This window comes from Homo sapiens, chromosome X (assembly GCF_000001405.40).
Source record: "Homo sapiens chromosome X, GRCh38.p14 Primary Assembly".
In the NCBI taxonomy this organism is placed as follows: Eukaryota; Metazoa; Chordata; class Mammalia; order Primates; family Hominidae; genus Homo; species Homo sapiens.
In genome coordinates, this window is record NC_000023.11 from 39,198,071 (window position 1) to 39,220,450 (window position 22,380).

A 22,380-nucleotide genomic window follows, 5' to 3' on the forward strand; every position below is an offset into this window, starting at 1 on the left:
GTAATCTAGATGACAGAAGTTTGTTCCCCAGTCATTATATGTACTTCTTAGAAAGGTATTGGCTTAGGTATCCTCTATTCGATCAGCTAGTACTCCAGAAACATAAGGAAGAGACCAAAGGGCACCCAAAATACAGAGTGCTTATGAGAAATATGCACTCAGAAAGTTATAACTGGATATTAATCTGAGCTAGGAAGGTGTAGCAGGCAGTCTCTAAGAGTCTTGTTCCCAAGATCCCTGCCTCGTAGTATTCATCCCTGCCCTTGTGAAATAGTCTCCTCTTTGAGTATAGGCTGGACCTAGTGACTCACTTGTAATGGATAGATTATGGCAGAAGTGATGAGATGTCTCTTGCAAGATTAGGTTATAAAAAGACCATGGCTTCGGTTCTGGGTGCTTTCTCTCATACTCTGTTGTGTTGTTGGCTCTGGAGGTGGCCAGCTACCATGTCATGAGACAACCCACTAAAGAGGTCCATGTGAGTGAACTTGAAAACACATCCTCTGTGGAGAAATAGGAACACTTTTACACTGTTGGTGGGACTGTAAACTAGTTCAACCCTTGTGGAAGTCAGTGTGGCGATTCCTCAGGGATCTAGAACTAGAAATACCATTTGACCCAGCCATCCCATTACTGGGTATATACCCAGAGGACTATAAATCATGCTGCTATAAAGACACATGCACACGTATGTTTATTGCGGCACTATTCACTATAGCAAAGACTTGGAACCAACCCAAATGTCCAACAATGATAGACTGGATTAAGAAAATGTGGCACATATACACCATGGAATACTATGCAGCCATAAAAAATGATGAGCTCATGTCCTTTGTAGGGACATGGATGAAATTGGAAATCATCATTCTCAGTAAACTATCGCAAGGACAAAAAACCAAACACCACATGTTCTCACTCATAGATGGGAATTGAACAATGAGAACACATGGACACAGGAAGGAGAACATCACACTCTGGGGACTGTTGTGGGGTGGGGGGAGGGGGGAGGGATAGCATTAGGAGATATACCTAATGCTAAATGACGAGTTAATGGGTGCAGCACACCAACATGGCACATGTATACATATGTAACTAACCTGCACATTGTGCACATGTACCCTAAAACTTAAAGTGTAATAATAATAATAAAAAAAAGAAAACACATCCTCCCCAGATCGAGTCTTGAGATGAGACTACAGCCCCAGTGATACCTTAATTGCAGCCTCATGAGAGACACTGAGCCAGAGGACCCAGCTAAGCCATACCCAGATTTCTGATCATACAATACTGTGAGATAATTTTTTGTTGTTTTTTATTGCTAAGTTTTGGAGTGATTTTTTATACAGCAATAGGTAATTGATACAGAAAGCACTGCATTAGATGTTGGCAATGAAAGTATGAGTAAAATGCATGGACTTATAAGCAAGTAACAGAAATCTATGCAAACTACCTTAAGCAGAAAGGAGCATGTATTAGAAGGATTTGTGGTTGTTTCCCAGAAATCAAGGGCAGGAAGGGCAACAGTACTCATGAAGACTGGAGGCAGAACTTAAGATCTGTTGAGAACTAGGTAGTGAGTCACTTTTTTCCTGACTTCCTCTGTTTATGAGGCCATTAAATATTTTATGATGGCCTCCTTCTGTCTCAATGACAGACATTTTCTATTTCTCCTTATACATGGGAAAAATCCAACACCCTAGGGGATCTTACATGTTGTGACAGTTAACTTTGCATGTCAACTTGACTGGGCTAAAGTATGCCCAGGTAACTGGTGAAACAGTTATTTCTGGTTGTGTCTGAGAGGGTATTTCTGGAAGAGATTAATATTTTAATCAGTAGACCAAGTAAAGATCTGCCCTTGCCAATATGGGCAGGCATCATCCAATCCATTGAAGGCTAAAATAGAACAAAAATGCAGAGGAAGAGCAAATTTGCTGTCTCTTGTTGAGTTGGGACATCCATCTTCTACTGACCTTTGACATTGGTGTTCCAGGTTCTCAAACTTTCGGACTTGGATGGAGACTTACACACCATTGGTTCTCCAGTTCTCAGCCTTTTGGACTTGGACTGGAACTATACCATTGGCTTTCCTGGGCATTCAACTTGCAGATTACAGATCATGGGACTTCTCAGCCCTCCAAATCATATAAGCCAATGAGTCATAACAAATCTCCTTCTTCTTTCTTTCTTTCTTTCTTTCTTTCTTTCTTTCTTTCTTTCTTTCTTTCTTTCTTTCTTCTTTCTTTCTTTCTCTCTTTCCTTGTTTTTCTTTCTTTCTTTCTCTTTCTTTCTTTCTCTTTCTTTCTTTCCTTCTTTCTTTCTCTCTCTCTCTCTATATATATATATCAGATCATGGGACTTCTCAGCCCCCCAAATCATACATATACATACACACACACATATATATATAGTTCTGTTTTTCCAGAGATCCCTGACTGATACATGTGTTTTTGCCATTTGTGTATAACAGATATTTACTTAAGTTGCTGTGACCAAATTCCCAATTCCTGAAAGAGAACATCAATAGGCACATCTTAGGTCAGTTGTACTTTTATGGTCCCTTTAAGAGAGGAAGCAAATGGGGTTATGGAGCTGGCTGTCCACTCAGAAGGGACTTTTTTGAGAAGAAGATATGGCAAATGCAGGCAAAGTAACCAAGAAGTTTCTTGAAGTGCCCTCAAGAAGCTTGCTATTTATTTGACTTTGCTGAGAAGAAAGGAATCTGGAATTTAGTGCATTTTACTGGCACATTCTTAGCTGGAGGACTGGGAGTAGACTAGAGAGAGCTGTGCACTGAGGCCTAGCTGAGTGTCTTCTTGAAAACCCCTAATCTTTGCTAGGCTTCAGGTTCCTCACCTATGAGATAAGCAATTGGACCTCGGGTGAGCTCTACTGGCTCTCCTACCTTCAAAATTCTGTGACTCTAAGGGAATGAGAAAGCAGAGGTGACATCTCCAGATGTCCTCATGGAAATGTGGTGCCTATCATTGTGTGACCAGATAGTCAAGGTCTCCAGCATGTGCTGGAGGTGCTCAGGGCTGTGAGATCCCTGGCCAACACTAAGATCAGTAGTATTGATCTTGAGGACAATCAAACCACGATGCCCCAACTTTTAGAAAAAAGAATGTATTTGTGGGCAAAGATTCAGATACACTGAACTTTAGAAGCTCTCAGTGGCCTTGAGCCTTATACAGTTGAAGGCTACCTGGAGAATTTACAAGGCGGAACATTTTAAAAATAGAAAAACCAATTTTATCCCCAAGGCTGTGCTGTCTTCTTGCAGAAGGTTGTTGGGATGAACACAGTTGCTTTTCGAATAATGGGCTGGGGCGCACCCACATGTGATATTGGTCTCATGCACCCACCTTCCCACTTCCTCTTACACACACACACATGCACACACCATCTCCTGAGAGTCTTAATCTCAATAATCTCTCTTCAGGCTTTCTCTCAGCCACTCAGAGTTCAGCCTGCTACTGACATCACCATATCCGGAGAGAAGCACCAATCAGCCTGCTTCTTGCCTTGTGTTATTTGCATGTCACCACCTTATTCCAGTGTTGGTGGAGATTTTGGTTTTTGTTTTATTAATTTCAATGTAGAAACACTTTCCTCCCCTTGGCATTTCTAATAGCTGGAAGGAGAAATGGGTGGAAATAATTACCTCTGCTCATTTCATGCCTGAACTAGAAGAATGTGTGACTCAGGTCTGGAATCTGATAAGGAGGTGCCTTTCTAGGAAACAAAACTTACACAAGGAATACCAATTTAACGTGGCAGACACATTCTTGCTTTGCTTTCCTCTCCTTTTTTCCCCCTTTCACAAAGAGAAGCAGTGTGTGTGCTAAGGAGCTGAGAATCCAGCTACGTCTTTGTGGTAGCGGGAAGCCACCTCCTTCACCAGTGAGGATGGATTAGTTAATGCCTGTTAAATGCTTTGAAATGAAATGTCTTCTGTACCCAAATACTCAATCTGATTATAGCCCTAGGTCTGATATCACAGGAGGGAAATGTAGTTCCTGACTGACACCATAGCTGTCAAAGTGGGCCTTTTTGGTGGAAGCTGTGATTGCTGCTTCCTTCCTGATCAAAGGACAACACCTTGGAAAGGGAAAATGGCACTAGTGCCTTACCCAGTTGTGAGAGACGGGAAGGGAGTGGGGTGCACAGAGAGAAAGAGAGAGATGGAGCAAAAATCTTGAGAGGAGGGAGGCAGGGGATTGGGTAAGGAGCAGAGTGGGAGAGAGGGAGAGAGAATTCCAATTATTATCAGGATCAGAGAGCTGTAGCTTACCCTTACATTTCTGTGAAACCCACTGAAAACAAATGCAGTCTTGGAAAAGATAAGGTTTACCCTAACAACAACAACAACAACAACAAAAAGCTGCTTTTCCAAGTTAAGGTGTCAGGGATTGTTTTACTTGGCTTTGCTTTATCTGTTTGCTTATTTGGTTAGTGGGTTGCTTGGTTGGCAGCATTTTGCTATTTTAGTGTAAAATCCAACAAATATGAGTCTTTGTATTTTGCCAAGGTAGATCTTTCTTTTTGCCTTGAAATATGGCCTGATCATTTGCCCCAGTTGCAGGAAGATTCGAGACTTCCTCACATTAAATGACAGGTCCAGCCTGCCTGGACCTTCTTGGATTCTGATCCTGTCTTTGTCTGCCTTGGAGATACCTGCACTCAGGTGGTCATTCCAGCTGCCCTCTAGTTGCAGGCAGCTGAGGCTTGCTCTTATCCAGTGGTCATGCTGAGCCTGCTAAGTTAAATTACCTTCTTTATCTGTGGGGAAGAGGACACAAGGCAACTCAGAGATAGAAAAGATAATGGGCAATGACAAGAGAGGGTTCTTGTCAGGGAAAATCTGACAAAAAGAAGGTAGAAGTACTGCTGAGTCTGTGAGTTATCCACCCTGGAGGCTGTCAAAGCCCATGCCAGTGGAGGCTTACCCAGAATGAGCTGCAGGATCACTCATTCATTCATTCACTCTTTTTTCTTTCTCTTTCTCTCTCCTTTCTCTTCTTTCTTTCCTTACTTCCTTTCATTTTTTTCTTTCTTTCTTCCCCATTTCTTATAGTATACATTTATCCATTCACCTGCATTCATTAATGATAACATTTATTGATTCTGCATTTATTATATGTCTATTCTTTCAACAAACATGTATTAAGTATCTCCTATGTACTAAGTACTATTCTAGGTTCCAGTCTTACAATGATAAATAAAATAAGGATTCTGACTTAAAGAAATCAAGCTCATACCCAAACAACCGTATTACAAATTAAACATAATACTTGTCCTAATAAAGTTCCTCCAGTGGGGTTTCTGGGTGCTCAAAGTGGAGGGGTTATGTCCAGCTACAGAGATCTCAGAAACTTTTGCAGAGGAGGTAATATGAGCGGGGCCTGAAGAGATAGAAGGAATTTTCCTACATAGTCATAGGTGATTGACAAGAAATATAACTGTCAGTAGGTCCAGCTCAAAGAAGGGCACGGGGATAAGGCTTGCTGGATCAATGCCAGGAATTAGATGACTGGAGCACAGGGTAGAGCAAGCAGGGGCAGGAGATGGGTCCAAAGTCTAGAGAGCCCTAGGGTGCTGTGCCACTTTCCTTTCTAACATCGCTGCCACATCCAATATTAAGGGCCTCCTTCTGGGACTTCAGAAGGGGCTCCAAAGGCCACAGATAAAACATGGTCACTTGAGAGAAGCAGGAGGGAAGGCTGCCTGGGTGGTGGGTGAATGTCCTGGAGTCTTTTCTCATTAGCAGTTCAGCCTAGATGAGTTGATCACATTTACTAATTTTAGTAAAAGTATTATGTATCCTAGCCCAAGCTTGTATAGCAAAATGAATAAGAGTAGTGAGTTTGGATTTTGGGTTTCATAGACCAATACAATTTTTTTAAAATTAGGGGGGTGGCCATAAGTATGTCAACTTTTAGTTTTGACCAGAAAGAATATACTCAAAATTTGTCAATTCACTATCACCATCTGTGGCAAAGGCTGCAAATTGCCTACCAAGTACCCATTCTCTCCTTCTTCTTGACAAACAGAATGCTATTTTATTTGGGGAAGCAATATGTCCAAATCAAAACCACATTTTCCAGCCTCTGAGTGGAACATCTGGGAAAGCTCTTAAAGAGGGCTGACCAGTTGGCATGGGTCTTTTTCCCTCCTCTCTTGTTCTTTCTTCCGATTTAAAATTACCATCTTTGCAGGACCATAGCTGGTCCTCCAAAGCTCTCTTAGTGTTTGTGATTCTCTCCGTTGATGCCCACCCCATATTTGACCCCTTGTGGGTGTATGAGGGAAGTGATCATGTTGACATCTGACCCCTCAACCTTCTCTCTCTTTCTGAGGCTCCTCCTTCTACCATCGCAAGAGCTTTTGTTTGCTCCTGCTGTCTGGGAGTAACTGCCATTGAATCATGACCTTCTCATTTCATAGCGAGAACTATGCCTTTCATATAAGTTAATGTTCAGCCAAGACAGCCTAAAGTACTCCAGGTGTTTCAAAACAGAGGAAACTGAATACAAAGAACAGGTTTCAAATGTGTTGGATGGGCAGTAGGAAGAGATGTATAGTGGCAATCATGACACTCCATCCAGAACCACCTTCAAGGAAGAACCTGCTGTCTCAGCTGCTGGGAGTGCTGTGGGCAAGCAGCCTCCAGCTGTCAGCCTCTTCAGGACCTGCCTCAGCTGCAGACAATACCTTGCGCAAGGCCACACCCTCCTGGAGTGCCATTTTGGCCCACTGCTGGATTACTGATGGGCCCTATACACTCCGGATATCTCTGTGGGAGTCTCCAAAGTTTTACCAGAACTGCATCACAGTTTGACTCTCCATCTGCCCAATTCTGCTTTCTCCAACTCCTTACCACATTTGATAATTCTTAATAAATATCCTGCATGCCAGACTTTATCTTGGTGTCAGCTTCCAGAGAACCCAACCTATGACATGAGGTAACCCAGAGATTAGTAACTAACTGCAGGAAGTCACAGACACCTCTATACTGGAACAACAGAGTTCGGGGCCTGGAGTCCAGGTCCTGCTCACCACTGATGTGGCTGGAACATTTGACATGGCTAGAACAGAACCATTACTGAAACTCCAGAGGCCCCTCTGACTCACCAAAGTCACTGGAGCCTGGAGCCACCCACTGCTGACAAAGATGCCACCAGACATAGAAAAAAGAAAAATGTCTTTTTATCTCCCTCTCACTTTCCCAGTACCCATCACTTCTTCCCATTAGAATAAACTGACTGGAAGCCAACTGACAAATAAACCTGGATAACTGTTTTTGTAGGTTTCCAATCCTGAGTGAAACAGAGCAGGGCATGAAGGGCAAGAGTGGAACTGAGAGAGAAGAGGAAAATGACTGGCAATATACCCCAGCCTTAAGTCCCCACCTTATGGCAGAAGAACCGAGGGGAAGGGGGAAGGATGAGCATTCAGATGAGACCCCAGGCCTGGCTGACACCTTGATAGCAGCCTCATGAAGGACTGAAGCAAAGGATCGAGCTAAGCCACACCCAGATTCCTGCCCCCCTACCCCTAGACACGGTGTGATAATAAATGTGTGTTGCCTGAAGCTGCTAAGTTTGTGGTAATTTGTTGCACAGCAATAGATGAGTAATACAGTGAGTGATTAACAAAGTGGGATGAGGGAAGCCCAGGAAAGCATTTTAGAGAAAACGGGAGACAAAGAATAATGTTTCTATAGGTAGCAAAAGAAGAAAGAATATCTGAGCAGAGAGAACAACAATTGCTTAGGAATATGAAAATGCATAGTGTATTCCAAAATTTACAAACAGTTTGGTGTTGCTAGACTTCAAAATGTTGGGGTACGTGGCAAGAAATTAAGCCAAGAAGTCATGAAAGCAAGACCAGTGGTTCTCAAATTTGGCTATTCATTAGAATGTATCAGGGAGCTTTATACATAAGGATGCCTGGCCCCGACCCCAAGAGATTTTACTGTAATAAGCGTGAAGTGCTGTGTTGACATAGGGATTTTGAAAAACTCTCCAGGTGGCAATGGAAGGAGTGGCATGAAACGGGTGAGGTACTTGCCTCAGGTACAAAATTTAAGGGGACACCAAAAGAAACAACTCAGTAGTCAAGATAAGTAACGTTTCAATACAATATTTAAAAAATCAAAATTAATGCAAAAACTCTGTGATAAACAAAATAAAGTTTTAAAATAAAGATAAAATACTCGGGTGGTTCCAATGTACAGAGAACTACTGTTCTAGACCTTGAGGGAAATTGTGTACTGTCCAGTAAATCTAGGGATTTGTACTGGGCCAGGTTTGGGCATTAAGGAGCAGGAAGACGTGGTCAAATTTATGTTTTTTGAAAGTTCCTTTGGCTGCTGAGCAGTAAGTAGGTGGGGAATGGAGGATAGGTGTGGTAGGATTCCAAGAACAGAAAGAAACAGACTAGCTGGAAAGATACTGCATAAATCCTACTGGAAAGCGATTCAGAATGATCCAAAATCAATCACAGCAAGGTTAGAGGAGAAGAGGGATGAGTCAGTGGCTGCGCCAGTGCTGGCTGCACCAGCTTGCAAAAATGGATTATATACCTCTCTTTCTCAGCTTCATGTTCAATGATGTCATATTGTTAGCTAAAAATTAGCTATGTTGAAGGTATTTACACCACAGAAATTGGCAAACACTGCAAATCAGAAGGTAGTTTTATTTTTTGGCTGAGAAGCCTGTTTATGAACATGACTAACTCATATGGATTAGACATGGAGGGAGAGAGGGACTGAAATGACCTGTAAGATGACCGTCTGCTGCCACTAACTAAATTATGAACTTAGGAGGGGATTGGCTCCAAGTTAATATCAGTTGCAAACAGCAGTGTGCAAGGAGATATCTGAAATCACCATTAGTCTTACAAGCTCAGCAGCTGGAAGGAAGATTTCTAGGATGCCATTTATTATAGTGCAAAGCAGCTCTGAGGAGCCACAAGCCCTAAAAGATTTAGGGTATGCCTAGAGAACATTGAGAGACAAGTTGATTAGGAAAGAATTGGTCTGTGATCTTTAGGAGTCTATGTCTAGGAAAAAATTATGAGAATCACTAGTAATGGAGCTGGTGTTCACTCAGGCACCATGGAAGCAATTAACATTAGATGGTCAACTGGAAATTAAGCTGGGAGTGTTGATTCTAGGGTCTGGTCTGCCAATAATTTGTTGGCTAACCTAAGACAATGTGTTAAACCTCTTAGTGCCTCATTTTCTTTATCTATAAGATAGTCTTACTTTCCCATATTAAGGTGTGATGTTGAAGACAAATGAGATAATATATGTTAAGAATCCCATAAAAATTTAAAGGAACTCTTCAAATGCAATATATAATCACACAATTGTAAAAATTATAATTATGTTAATAGTATTATGCTAATTATCCAATAATTTTCAAAGACCTGAATGGACCACTGTGGTGTCACTATAGCCAGGCTTCTACCTTTAGACAGATTTGGAAAGCTGGTTAACTTTAAATTCTATGAGTGTCAACTAACTAAAGTTTTGGTTTATTTTTCACTTCAGACTTCATTCCTTTGGAATTTAAGAAATTACTGCTCTGCCTTTAAAGGGGAAATTTATTTGGTCTCATGATAAGAAATTTCAGCTTAGCTTGCCTATTTGTGTTTGAGTTCAAAGTTTCTCTAGATACATTATCATTTAAACTGGAGGGAAACAATCTTCCTTAACTAGAGCACAGGGCCATGACCTTCCCTACATGATGGGCAGCTAATCCACTTAGAACCAGTGACTCGCTTTGTATAATTTATAAGACCCCATGAAAAGACAGGCCTCCATAGATTAATATTTCAGCTGTCTTCCCTTTCATTTCATCCTCTGGATGTGGCAGCAACAATCACATGAATCATTCCTGAACTGAGTCCATATCAAACATCCAGAGCTTCATCTGCATTCGCTGAAGGTCCAGCTCATTCAAGGGAAGTTCCTACAGGATTTCAAATACATGGGTAATTTGCCTTTGACACCTCTTACCCCAACCTGGCTGTGCTAGTGTTTTAAAATGTAGCTTTAAATTCTTTGAAAGGCTTTAAATTCTTTGAAAGGCTTTAAATTTTTATTTAGAGGTGGGGGGTTCTGGTTCATGTCCTCTTCAATCTGAACAGACTTGTGATTGCTTTGACCAAGAGTATGGTGGAAGTGTGCTATGTATGTGACTTCTGAAGCTAGGTCATCAAATGCCATGCAGATTCCTCTGTCTCTTGAAATGCTTGTTCCCTGGACACTCCCTCAGGACACTCCCTTTCAGAACCCTGCTGTCATGCTAAGAGAAGCCCAAGCCACCAGGAAAGGTCATATGTAGGTATTCTGGTCACCAAAGCCAGCAGAACCCGGCCTTAAATCGTCACATCCCAGGCACCAAGCATGTAAGTGAAGAAGCCTCCAGATGATTCCAGTCCCAAGCCATAGATTCACCCAGCCCCTTAAGTCCCTCTGCCTGAGGCACACTATGGAACAGAAACATTGTAGAGCAAAGACAAGTCATCCCTGCTGTGCACTGTCTAAAATTCTAACCCACAGAATTCATGAGCATAAGAAAATGGTTGTTGTTTATGCCACTAAGTTTGGAATGGTTTGTTATGCAGCAATAGATAATTAGAACACTGGCTGGCTAAGCTAAAGTTTCTTTTTCTTTCTTGGGTTATGAGAAATTACTGGCCTAGTCAAAAAGGATATATTTCTTCAAAACAAGAAGACTGTTCTGTACCTCTGGCTGAAGTATTAAGCCTTCTGAATGAGAACTCTAGATTTTTTGTCCCTATGTGTTGACTTCCTGATGGAAAGACTAGTTCTTGGTGTTGAATTTCCTTTCTCTGTCCCATCTTTACAGATTTTTGATGATTTATTAATTCATTTATTTATCAAATAAATATTTATCAAACCACTACTATGCAGTGGGTGTACTTCTAGATGTTCAGGATGTGATGGTGAGCACAACATGCAGGGTCTCCGTCTTTCTGGACATGGAGTCCAGTGCAGAAGTCTTACTATTGTTCATGCCACAAACTCTTTTGACATCTGGTGAGGTCTATGGACCCTTTCTCAGAAACATGTTTTTAAATCTATAAAATGCCTAAGCTCATGAAGGAAACTACTGATGTTGCAGTAGTTACCAAAATATTTTTTAAAAATTGTGATATAATAATATATGTGTTTCTTTATGAATGTATTAAATAACAAGATCTAGTGGTGAGCCTAAGGAATTTCATGGTAGTGATGAGTGGGAATAATATGTTGAGATCCTTGCAAAAACTGTATTATGAAAATAGTTGTGATATCTGTTGGTGACAAAGTCACAAGCACAGTCAATGCTATTGTGGTTTGCTGTCTATATACATAATAGAAGGAAAAGATACATTTTAGTAAGATTTAGTAGAAATAAATATGTAATATGTAATTTTTTTCTTATCCAAATTAATGGATCATCTGAATTCTGTGGTCTATAGATCTCAGATTAACAACCCTTGGTCTCAGGGTGTGAACAGACTTCAACCAAATAATAAGCTGTGATGCCTGCTATGTGAATGTATTAGTTTCCTAAGACTGCTGTAACAGATTACTACAAACTCAGTGGTTTGAAACAACAGGAATTTATTCTTTTTCATTTCTAGAGTCAACAAATCCAAAATCAACATCACTGGGCTATGCTCCCTCTGGAGGTTCTAGGAGAAATTTCTTACCTCTTCCTGCTTCTGGGGGTTGCTGGCATTCCTTGGCTTGTGGCTGTATCATGCCAGTCTTCAAGGCCAGCATCTTCAAATCTCTCTACTCCACTTTCACATGGCTCTCTCTGTGTCTGTATCACAGTTCCCTCTGGCTCTCTTATAAGGACACTTGTTATTGCATGTAGAGCCCGCCTGGATAATCCAAGATAACTTCCTCATCTCAAGATCCTTAATTTAATCCTGTCTGCAAAGTCTTCGCCTTATAAAGTAACAGGTACATGCTCCAGGGAATAGTATATCTTTCGAGGGGCCATCTTTCACCCTCCCACTGTGACCATGAGTCCTGATCCAACCTGGGGGCTACGATGTGCCAGGAATGGCTTTCCTGAGGAAGAGACTATGGGCTGATAACTGAAGGAAGAGTGAGAGTAACTAGACGAAAAGTGTGGGTGAGGCAGGTGAGATTGTTTCAGACAGGAGGATGAGTTCATGCAAAAACCCAGAAACTGGAAGTCTATGCTACATTCTGGGTATGGAAGACAGACAGTGTGTTTGGGGCCCAGTGTGTTTGTGGAAGGTGGTGGGGGCAGAGTAAATAGAGATGCCCAGGAGAGGCCAATGGGGAACACATCCTGAAATGCTTAATAGGATTTACTTCTTTCCTTCATAGCAGTGAGAAGACAGTGGATGATATTATATGCACAGAGCTGGGGTTTTGAAAGATCATTCTGGTTTAAGTGAGGAAATCAGATTACGCAGTGGAGGGTTGCAAGAACTAGTGGTTGGGGGAACCAGTTAGAAGGTATGGCAGGGTCCCATCCAGAGACGACAGACACTTGGTCTAGGGAATAAGTTTATGGAGGTGGGAGAGGATTTGAGAGCAGTTTAAATCAATGAACATTTTAGAAAATCCAGCAATTTATGACACAGTATAGATTTGATTAACTGTAGAAAAACATGGACAGAGTAAGTTGCCAATGTGTGTAAGTATGGGTTTTAATTTACAAACCTGGGTGCAGGAAGCGATTTGTACCTTAATTTTACTATATTTAACTTAATCTGCTCTGAGCCAGTGGAAAATTCAATCTCAGTGACTACTGATAATTCTTCATGCCCCTTTCTCAAGACTGTGTGAAAGGTTTGAGCAGTTTATACAATCCAGACACTTGAAGAAGGATCCTGAGGGTGTGTGGGGGTGTTAAATGCTCAGTGATATATACATATTCCTTGTTGAGGCCCACATGGGCTCTTCAAGGCTATTATGGATTTTAGGGACAAGCTGGACCAGTCTTTTGCCCAGGCTCTGAACACCATGGCTCTTAGGGTTTAGTAACCCATTTCCATACAGTTGCAAAGTAATCTATGACAAAATGAACAGTTCTGAGGTTCTTTTGGGTAGGTAAATGTAGCCATCAGAAATATTGCGATGGGGAAGCATTAGCTACTCTTGCTATAACCTGCCAAGAGAATGCAGCTCTTAGAACAAATTTCATCATTTATCTGGACATTTATTAATTGTTTAAAGGAAAGTAACAGTTCATACAACCTTAGGAAGACGTTAGTCTCTGTTCTTTCAGGTGCTCCAACCATCACCATCTTGCTTGAAAGGTTCATTTGAGGGCGATCTCAAAACTCTAGAGGCAGGATTCATGAATCATGCAATTGCACCTCTCCTATTTAAGGCCATATATAAAATCATTTAGAGCTACAGTCTAGAGCTGCCAGTGAATATGGGCTACAGGCCTTACTAGCTTCTTATAGCCTGTTCCTGTCTCAATTTGAGCTCTCCCATAAGCTAGAGTTTAAATGCAAGTAGTTCATTTAGGAGAAAAAACCACCAGTAAGAGAGTGTATAATTAAGCCCTTGGAAGAAAGGCCAAAAGGAATGTTGTCAAGCTAGTTGCCATTATAGGTAACTAGAGATTAAATCTGTAGGGAAAATGCTGAGGGCCAGGGTAGAGCACATGCCTCTGTGTTAGTCTGTTCTCGCATTGCTGTAAAGAAATACTTGAGACTGGGTAATTTATAAAGAAAAGAGGTTTAATTGGCTCATTGTTCTGCAGGCAGTACAGGAAGCATAGCAGCTTCTGTTTCTGGGGAGGCCTCAGGAAGCTTCCAATCATGGCAGAAGGCAAAGGGAGAGTGAGGCATCTTACATGGCAGGAGCAGGAGAGAGAGTGAAAAGGAAGGTATCACACACTTTTGAGCAACCAGATCTTGTGAGAACTCACTCACTATCACAAGAACAGCACCAAAGGGATGATGCTAAACCATTCATGAGAAAGCACCCCTATGATCCAGTCATCTCCCACCAGGCCGAACCTCCAACAGTGGGGATTACAATTTGACATGAGATTTGGGTGGGCACACAGATCCAAACCATATCAGCCTCCAAGTAATTCCATCTGAGTCCCCATAATTCCCATGTGTCATGGGAGGGACCTGGTGGTAGGTAATTGAATCATGGGGGCAGTTACACCGATGCTGCTGTCCTCATGATAGTGTGTGCGTTCTCACAAGATCTGGTGGTTTTATAAGGGGCTTTTCCTTCTTTGGCTTGGCACTACTTGCTGCAGCCATGTGAAGAAGGATGTGTTTGCTTCCCCTTCTGCCATAATTGTAAGTTTCCTGAGGCCTCCCCAGGCATGAAAAACTGTGAGTCAATTAAACCTCTTTCCTTTATAAATTACCCAGTCTTGGGTATGTCTTTATTAGCAGCATGAGAACGGACTAATACAGAGGGATAAGGGAGCTGGGGTATTTATGTACCAACCCTGGGTCATTGAAGAAGTTCATTTGAGAACTACTCAAAAGGAATCAATTTCCTGGCAATTTTGGTGAGTCACACAGGCAGAAAAGTGAGAAGAGAAAGCCCACAGGCTAGGTAGCTGCTGGCATTTGGCAGTGGGCCAGTTTCCCCAAAGTCTGAGGGTGAGGGAACATAGGTGGCATGCCAAGAGCATCTGCTACAGATAGCCCACTGCTGGCATTCCTTCTGCTACATAACAAGTCGCTAGTTTTGCCAATGAAAGCCCATTCTGATATTTACTATATATGAATTAGGAAAGCCTCAGGTGTTGATTGGAACACCATTGAAGGCATGCTTGCAGAAACTACCTCTGTAAGTTAGCCTTTCTGGTCTAATATCAGCAGAGCACTCCTGGAGTGGGAAGTCTCTAATAGGCAACTGATGGCCCCTAAAGCTGAAGCTTAAACTATCACATACATAAAATCACATGGTCTATGCTAAAATCATTTAAAGTGAATTACACACATCATCATACTTGCCATCCCAGAGCCCTTTTGTCATAGGACTTGATCCTACTCAGTCACTGTGCGAGGAAATAAGGCTCAGATTCCCCCAACATACCAGCAGCACCTGTAGGAACCTGGTCCCTTTCTTTAAAGAGTCTCAAGCAATCTTTACCTCTCTTCCATTTCTCTTTCTCTTAAAATCCTTGAACTCCAAGTATTCCTTATGTCCAACCCTGTTGCCCCCCGCAGGCACCCCCCCGCCCCACTCCTCACATAGATGCATCCTTTGAATAATTCCTTTCACTGGCTTTAGGTTTCTGTAAAGCCACAGGCTGGAATTGCATTTCCTATCCTGTGTCTTAATGGCAGGGATTGTAGTTTTCCACAATTCCACACAAAGCCCCTGAGGCAAAGGAGTGCCCGGTTTGTCTTCCTGTGAGAGGATGAGGAGAAGGAAAAATACCTACAGTAGCAAGATCGAACTGAAAATTAATATCTTAATAAATTATTCTGCCACATTTGTGTAAAACTTCCATTCTGTGCTTTCATTTAAAAAGCAAGGTAATTTGAAAACACATAACATAGATTGATGCAACCACAGCATATTTACCATCTATTGGATATCTCCTATGTTTTCGGGTCTATGGCAAGATCAGTGTATATATTATGTCATCAAATTCTCGTGTATCTTACGTGAAACATGATTATCCCCTTTTTATAGATAACGAAACTGATTTTCATAGGGATTCTTTAAAAACTCATTTTTTATTATTACAAAAGAAGTTCGCTAACAAGAAAATTAAAAAGTCCTCCCCCAAAATAGAAATCATTATTATCCTCTATCCATACATGACAATTTATACCATTTTGATTATATCATGCCCATATTTTTTTCAATGTCTATTTGCACATATATTTTGAAAAACAAAATTGGGTTCTTTCAGTAGCAATCTTTTTTATTTATCCTCTGAGAATGCTGAAGGACGATTTTCTGACATGGGTTTTCTTGAGCTGGAAACTAAATCTTCACCAGGGCAATCCAAAAGCATGCAAGCTTCAAATCATTCATGGTGTGAAGAGATGTATGCTGAAAAGGGGAGTGGGAGCAGCTTAATTGTGCAATTTTTGTGGGTTCTTTGTAAAACTCTTGGGCTGCAGCTTACAAAAAACCTTTGCCTGGTTTGCTAAATAGCTCTGCTTACTTGGCCCAGGATCTTCCATCTGATTGAGCATCCCCAATTTGGATTGTATTACTTTAAAATTTGAGGCCATTCTCATTGGCCATCTGGGACCATAACAAAAATCCACGCATTTTATTCTTTCACTTTTCTACTTTGTCAAATACAGACTAGTTTGAGAACTCTAATTAAGTAGAAACGTAACATTTTTAGAGTGGCTCTCAAAGGGTAAAAGGAAAGAAAAGAGAAACCCTTTGGAGTCTTCTCACCAAGCTCCCCCACAAGCCCACAATTGTCTCAGGTTTGAGTCCCAGCTGAGTGAGCACATTCCCTGACTGGAGCAAAGACAGGGCTTGGCGTCTTCCCAGCCCTTTTTATTGTGATGTCAGGCTGAGACCAGCCACTGTTGGAGAGGGAGGAATGGGGAGGACTAGGAAAGCCATGCAACGGGGGGTGGGTGGCCTCCCCCCTGGCAACCAGGCTCTCTGTGGCGCAGCTCCTTTCAGGGGCACTCACAGCCATCCTCCTCTGCTTGTTCCCTTGCTATGGACCACAACCCAGGCTGTGAATCCTGTTAGGGTAGGGACTGTGTCTGGCCAGCTCCTAGCAGTGTTCAAAGTATGCTTATTGAATGAATGAATGAATGAATATTCAAAGTATGCTTATTGAATGAATGAATGAGTAAATGAATGAATGAATGATGATCTGATTTCCATAACACTAAGGCATTTCCCAGAGGCAACAAGTCCCTTAACCTTCAGTGAGCCAAATGCACACTGGCTTTATTTCACAATATCTACTCCTATGGAAACAGGAGTCCCAGTGCTAGATTTAAACAAACAGCTTTCCACAAAGCCAGACTTAACTAACCAGGGCCAGAAACCCCTGTGATGCTTGACTTCTCTTTTTCATTCCCCCGTGTCCAATTTGCCACTGCAGCCTTAGAAGAGGGGTTCATATCTGGCCCCTGCTTACTTATCAACCTCACTTAGCAACTTTAGCCAAGACCCTCATCCAGGCTCTCCCATCACAGTGAGATCTAACCAATTTCGGAGCAAAATACTTCCATCAAATGAAATTTTATACAAAAGTCTAAGGTGTAAAACTGATGAAAATTGTTGCTGTGGATAAAGGTAAAGGTGCCCTAGTACATCTTCCCACCCTAAACCTACTGTCATGTGGAATCTTGGACTCTAGGGATGCACCTTGAAACCAATAGACCCAGTCTTCTACCTACCTGGTTTCCCTACCTCAGCTTGCTAAAATGAGCATCTAATCACTCCAGGTTCCTGCTTAAAATCTTGTAGTGCTTCTGTAAATCCCTAGCTGGCATGCAAAGTCCTTCTTAACCTGGCCTCTGCCTGCATTTTCAGACCTATCTCTTGTGAAGTTACCCAGTGCTCCATGTTTTCCAATTTATTTAAACTTCTCAGTTTTCTCTGAACACCCCAAGACTTCTCACAACCACCTACCTTTGCATATGACATTTCCTCACCTGAGGAGTTCTTCACTTCCATTTTTGTGGTTTAAATTTGACAGATTCTTCAGGGTCTGCCCCAAGGGCTGTTTCCCCCACTTATCCTTTCCTAGGGACTATTTATGTTTCTTTTCTTTCCTATCAGATTATGGTTTTCTTGGGGATAGGGACTGTGTGTCATTCAACTCTGTACTCAGAGTGCCTAGCACAGTGCTTGGTACAAGAGCAAATGATCAATAAAAGTTGGTTGAATAAATTAATGGATTAACAAATGCAAGAATAGATTATTGTGGTCTGAAGCCATCAAAAATGGATTCCCAGAGAAGGTGAGACTCAAGCTGGATTCTGAAACACAGGAAGATTTGGTATAAATGGAAAATCGTTGCAGGGTTTTAATCCACTGCTGACTTTGGCTGGAGGAAATCAGGATTATTACTCTGACTGGCCTTCCTCAAGGAAACCTTGAGAGGAACTGAGATAGGATAAATGCCCCAAGGTATTTATTTACCTAGGTGAACCACCTAGGTAAAAGGCATTTCCAGAGTGAACCTCATCCCCTCTAAACCATAGTCACTGTGCTAGTTATTATCTCTCTTTTTCCCACCAATCCAACACCCACTCATCCATTTTATACTCTTCTAACCCCTGGGGACAGCATCTCCTAGCTCCCTTGGTAGCTGATTGCTGATTACATTCTGATCATGGGAAGCATTGGCAGGAGATCTGAAGAGTCTCTCCCTGAATCCATGTTTTTGGTAGGGACTGTGCCATTCAACTACAGCTCTGTGGCGGGCAGAATAGTGCCCTCTCCCAAATGTTTATGTGCTAATCCATGGAATCTGTGAATATGTTATCTTACATGGCAAAAGAGACTTTGCAGATATGATTAAGTTAAGGATCTTAAAATGAGAGATTATTCTGAATTATCTGGGTGGGCCCAGTGTAATCTTAAGCATGCTTATAAGAGGGAATCAGGGCCGGGAATGGTGGCTCACTCCTCTAATCCCAGCATTTTGAGAGGCCGAGGCAGGCAGATCACTTGAGGTCAAGAGTTTGAGACAAGCCTGGTCAACATGGTGAAACCCTGTCTCTACTAAAAATACAAAAATTAGTTGGATGTTGTGGCAGGCGCTTGTAATCCCAGCTACTCGGGAGGCTGAGGCAGGAGAATCTCTGGAACCCAGGAGGCGGAGATTACAGTGAGCCAAGATGGTGCTACTGGAGTCCAGCCTGGGCAAGAGAGGGAGAGTCTGTCTCAAAAAAGAGAGAAAAAAAAAGGGAATCAGGAGGACCAGAGTCAGTAGTAGATGTGAGGAAGGAAGCAGAGGTTGAAGTGATGCAAAAAAGATGCCATGAGCTGGGGAATGCAGGCAATCTCTAGAAGCTGAAAAGGCAAGGAAACGGATTCTCCTCTGGAGCCACCAGAGGGAATGTGACCCTGCTGTCACCTTGATTCTAACCAGAGGGCATATGACCCTGTTGTTACCTTGATTCTAGCCTTGCAAGACTCATTTTGAACTCCAGAACTGTAAGATAGAGATTTTGTGTTGTTTTAAGCCACTAATTTATGGCAGTTCATTACAGCAGCAATAGAAAAAAAATATAAACTCCTACTGGGTCATTCCTTTTCTGTGGCCCTTCCTTCATGGCTCCAGCTCCTATTGAGTTCAAGTAACTCTGATTCTTCCCTTGTTCATGTCTCCTGCTTCCCAAGGTTGCTAGTCTCTGGGTGTCTCAACATTCCATTGGTTCCTATAAACCCTTCCCACAGCTCTGTGAGTTTGCCTTTGGTTAAAGTCTCCAGAACCGTTTGATCTGGATTCTGTTTCTTGCTAGGGTTGTATCTGGCTAGCCACCTCTAAGAAACGTGGCAAAATGGTTTCTCTGGCACCAATCAGAGCTCTCTCTGTGCTGAAGGGCCATGCACTGTTGTCAGAACACCTTTTCAGTGGAGTCTGACTTTCCCAGAGGCAAGATGCCTGCCAGTGTCCACAAAGAAGTCTGTCAGAATTTGAAGGCATTAAGATAGCCCCTCCAGCAGTGTAACTTGGAAGTAAATCCCACTCTTTTTTCAGAGTAGAGATTTTGAACCTTGGTGGTCCCTGAATGAGAGCTTAGGAATGAGAGCTCCATGAAACACCCGAAATTTTGAATTTTGTGTGCAATTTTGTGCATATGTATATTCTCAAGGGAGCTCTACTCAGCTGCCTGGATTTCCTTCACTGCTGCAGAGGTAGCTGACCAGGTGTAGCAGATGTTTTCTGTACCCTGTGTCCTGTCCCCTTGGCCTATCTCTGATTTCAGTGAAGCTATTAGAGACCGGTTCCTGCAGAGGGAGAATGCAATCTCTCTCCCATTCTATGTGTCTTTCCACTTTTCTACCTCAGAATTTTCTCTGAAGCTGTAAACCTGTCTAGCCTTTATGTAGGAATAGCCCAGAAGTGCAGGAGATAACCTGCACTCACTCCTGGGAGTAACTGTTGCACCATGAAGGCAGAAGTCAGTGAATAAATGCCCTAATCACTAAAATCTCCAGTGGGGGCATTCCACAGAGCATTCTGTTGGCTTCACGAAAGTGCCTGCAAAATCCGACTCCTGGCTGAATAGCACCTTGATAATGTGTCATTTTATTGGCTTTATCTCCTTCCCTGTCTCACACTCTCTGCTCCTTCCCTCCTGCTTCCTAAGTTCACCTCTAAAATAAACTACCTCTACTCAAGTCCTTGTCTTGGACTCTGCTTTCTGGAAAAACAGACCAAGACACTAGGACAGTTTTGCAGAGACCCAAATTCGGGCATCAGATGTTGAGCACCACATCACCCACACAGTGATACTCAGACTCTCAGACCCACTGTTGCTTAATAAAAGGTTCCTTGTTTCTTCTTAGATTCCACAAAGTCCACAGCTAACAGTTATTCCTTTTGGAAAAGTAAACTGTATTTCTTTCTTCATATACTGGGACCCATAATGGCCAGCCTCTTCTCTCATTTGTGATATTTGTCTTCCAATACCCCTTCCCTACACCCAAACCCACACTGGCAAGCAGAAGCTGGATGAATGCAAAAATCCACTTTCGTTCTAGAGGAAAGGAATTCCACTGGGGCCTTATTAGGCTTCCACTGCCTGCTAATCATGCTTTCATTCAAACATTCCAGCATCTGCTGTTATTATTACTGGAACACCTCAACCAGATCGAGCAAATTTCATGGGTGGGAGTAATAGGACAGGGAGAAGATAGCAAGGGCTGAATCAATTTTTTAATTTGGCGGAGGGAAATCAAGATCACCACCATGTTAGTCATCTATTGCTGCATAACAAATTCCCACAAACACGAAGGCTTTAAACTATTTATTAGTTCATGGTTTCCATGGGTCAGGATTCTGATACAGTTTGGCTGGGTCTTCTGCTCAGGGTGTCACAAGACTGCAATGGAAGCATTTGCTGGGGCTGAGAGTCTCATCTGAGGCTCAAGATCTTCTTCCAAGCTCATGTGGTTATTGGCCAAATTCAGTTTCTTGCAGTTGTAGGGTTCATGAGGGCTTGCTTCTTCAAGGCAAGCCAGGAGAAATATCTCTCTGACTTCTTCTGTCTTTGAACTCTAGATCTTCTTTAAAGGACTCACCTGATTAGGACACTCAAGGGGAGGGGATTATACAAGGAAGTGGGTCATTGGGGTCATCTTAGAATTCCACTTCACAACCACCTTGACTAGCCTTTAAGAAATACAAGATAGGGTTGGGGTGGAGACTGCAGAGAGAGGAAGAAGCTGACCCTAGTTTGTTTTCTCTACTCGTCATTCTCTATGAGTAATGCCTTCTCTAGTGAGAAAACATTTTTTCATTTTGAAAATTGGCCACCAAATGAGATAGGAAAGCCCCCAAAATTGTGAGAACACAATTAACTTATTTGGTGAGATTAGGCAGAAAAAACCCCCATAACCCTCTTTACTTTTCTGTTACCAGGTCCTCAAGTCAGAAACTGGGGGTCACATTTGACACCTGTATCTTCTGCCATGTATATCATTAAAATCCATCCATTTTACCTCCTAAATGTCTCATGAATCCATGACTGCTCCCGAGACCTCCTGACTGTCCCTCAGCTTCCATTCTTGTCCTCTATACCCCATTTTGTCCACAACAGCCTGATCTGGGTGATCACACTCTTGACCTAGGGCAGGGTGGTGCCCTGTAACCATCCTTCCAGCCTGCTCAGTCCAGCTGCCTTAGGACAGCCCAATGGGCCACCCCATCAATGTATTGGTTTGCTAGGGCTGTCATAACAAAGTAATCTAAACTGGGTAGCCAAAAACAACAGAAATATGTTGGCTCACAGTTCTGGAAGCTAGAAGTCTGAGAACAAGGTGTTAGCAGAGTCATGTTCCCTCTGAAGTCTCCAGGGTAGGATGCTTCCTTACCTCTTCTGGCTTGTGATAACCCCAGACATTCCTTGGCTTGAGACAGCATAGTTCCAATCTCTGTCTCCATATTCACATGGCCATCTTTCTTCTGAGTCTGCGTTTCTGTCTGAGAGTGCAAAGACACATAGCACTCTCCCTATGTGTCTTTGTCCCAATTTCCTTTTTTGTAAGGACACCAGTCAGATTGCCTTAAGGATGACCATAATGATTAACTTGATCATTTGCAAAGACCTTATTTCCAAATACGATCACATTTACAGGCACTGGGAGTTTGGACTTCAGCCTCTCTTTTTCTGTGGGGAAGTGCAAGGAACATAATTCAACTCATAGCAACC

At 42.3% G+C, this 22,380-nt stretch overlaps 1 long non-coding RNA gene across 2 annotated transcripts in view; it reads right to left on the minus strand.

The window, feature by feature from the left end:
* LOC105373175 (uncharacterized) overlaps positions 1 to 22,380 on the minus strand; it is a 111,327-nt gene that overhangs the window by 9,611 nt on the left and 79,336 nt on the right. Inside the window, exon 3 of one of the 2 annotated variants that reach the window (XR_007068216.1) lies at positions 15,720 to 16,060. The exons of the other annotated variant lie outside the window; for it this stretch is intronic. This is a non-coding gene — a long non-coding RNA (uncharacterized LOC105373175). Of the gene's footprint in view, positions 1 to 15,719; positions 16,061 to 22,380 lie in introns of those variants that run through there. 2 annotated transcript variants of the gene reach the window in all.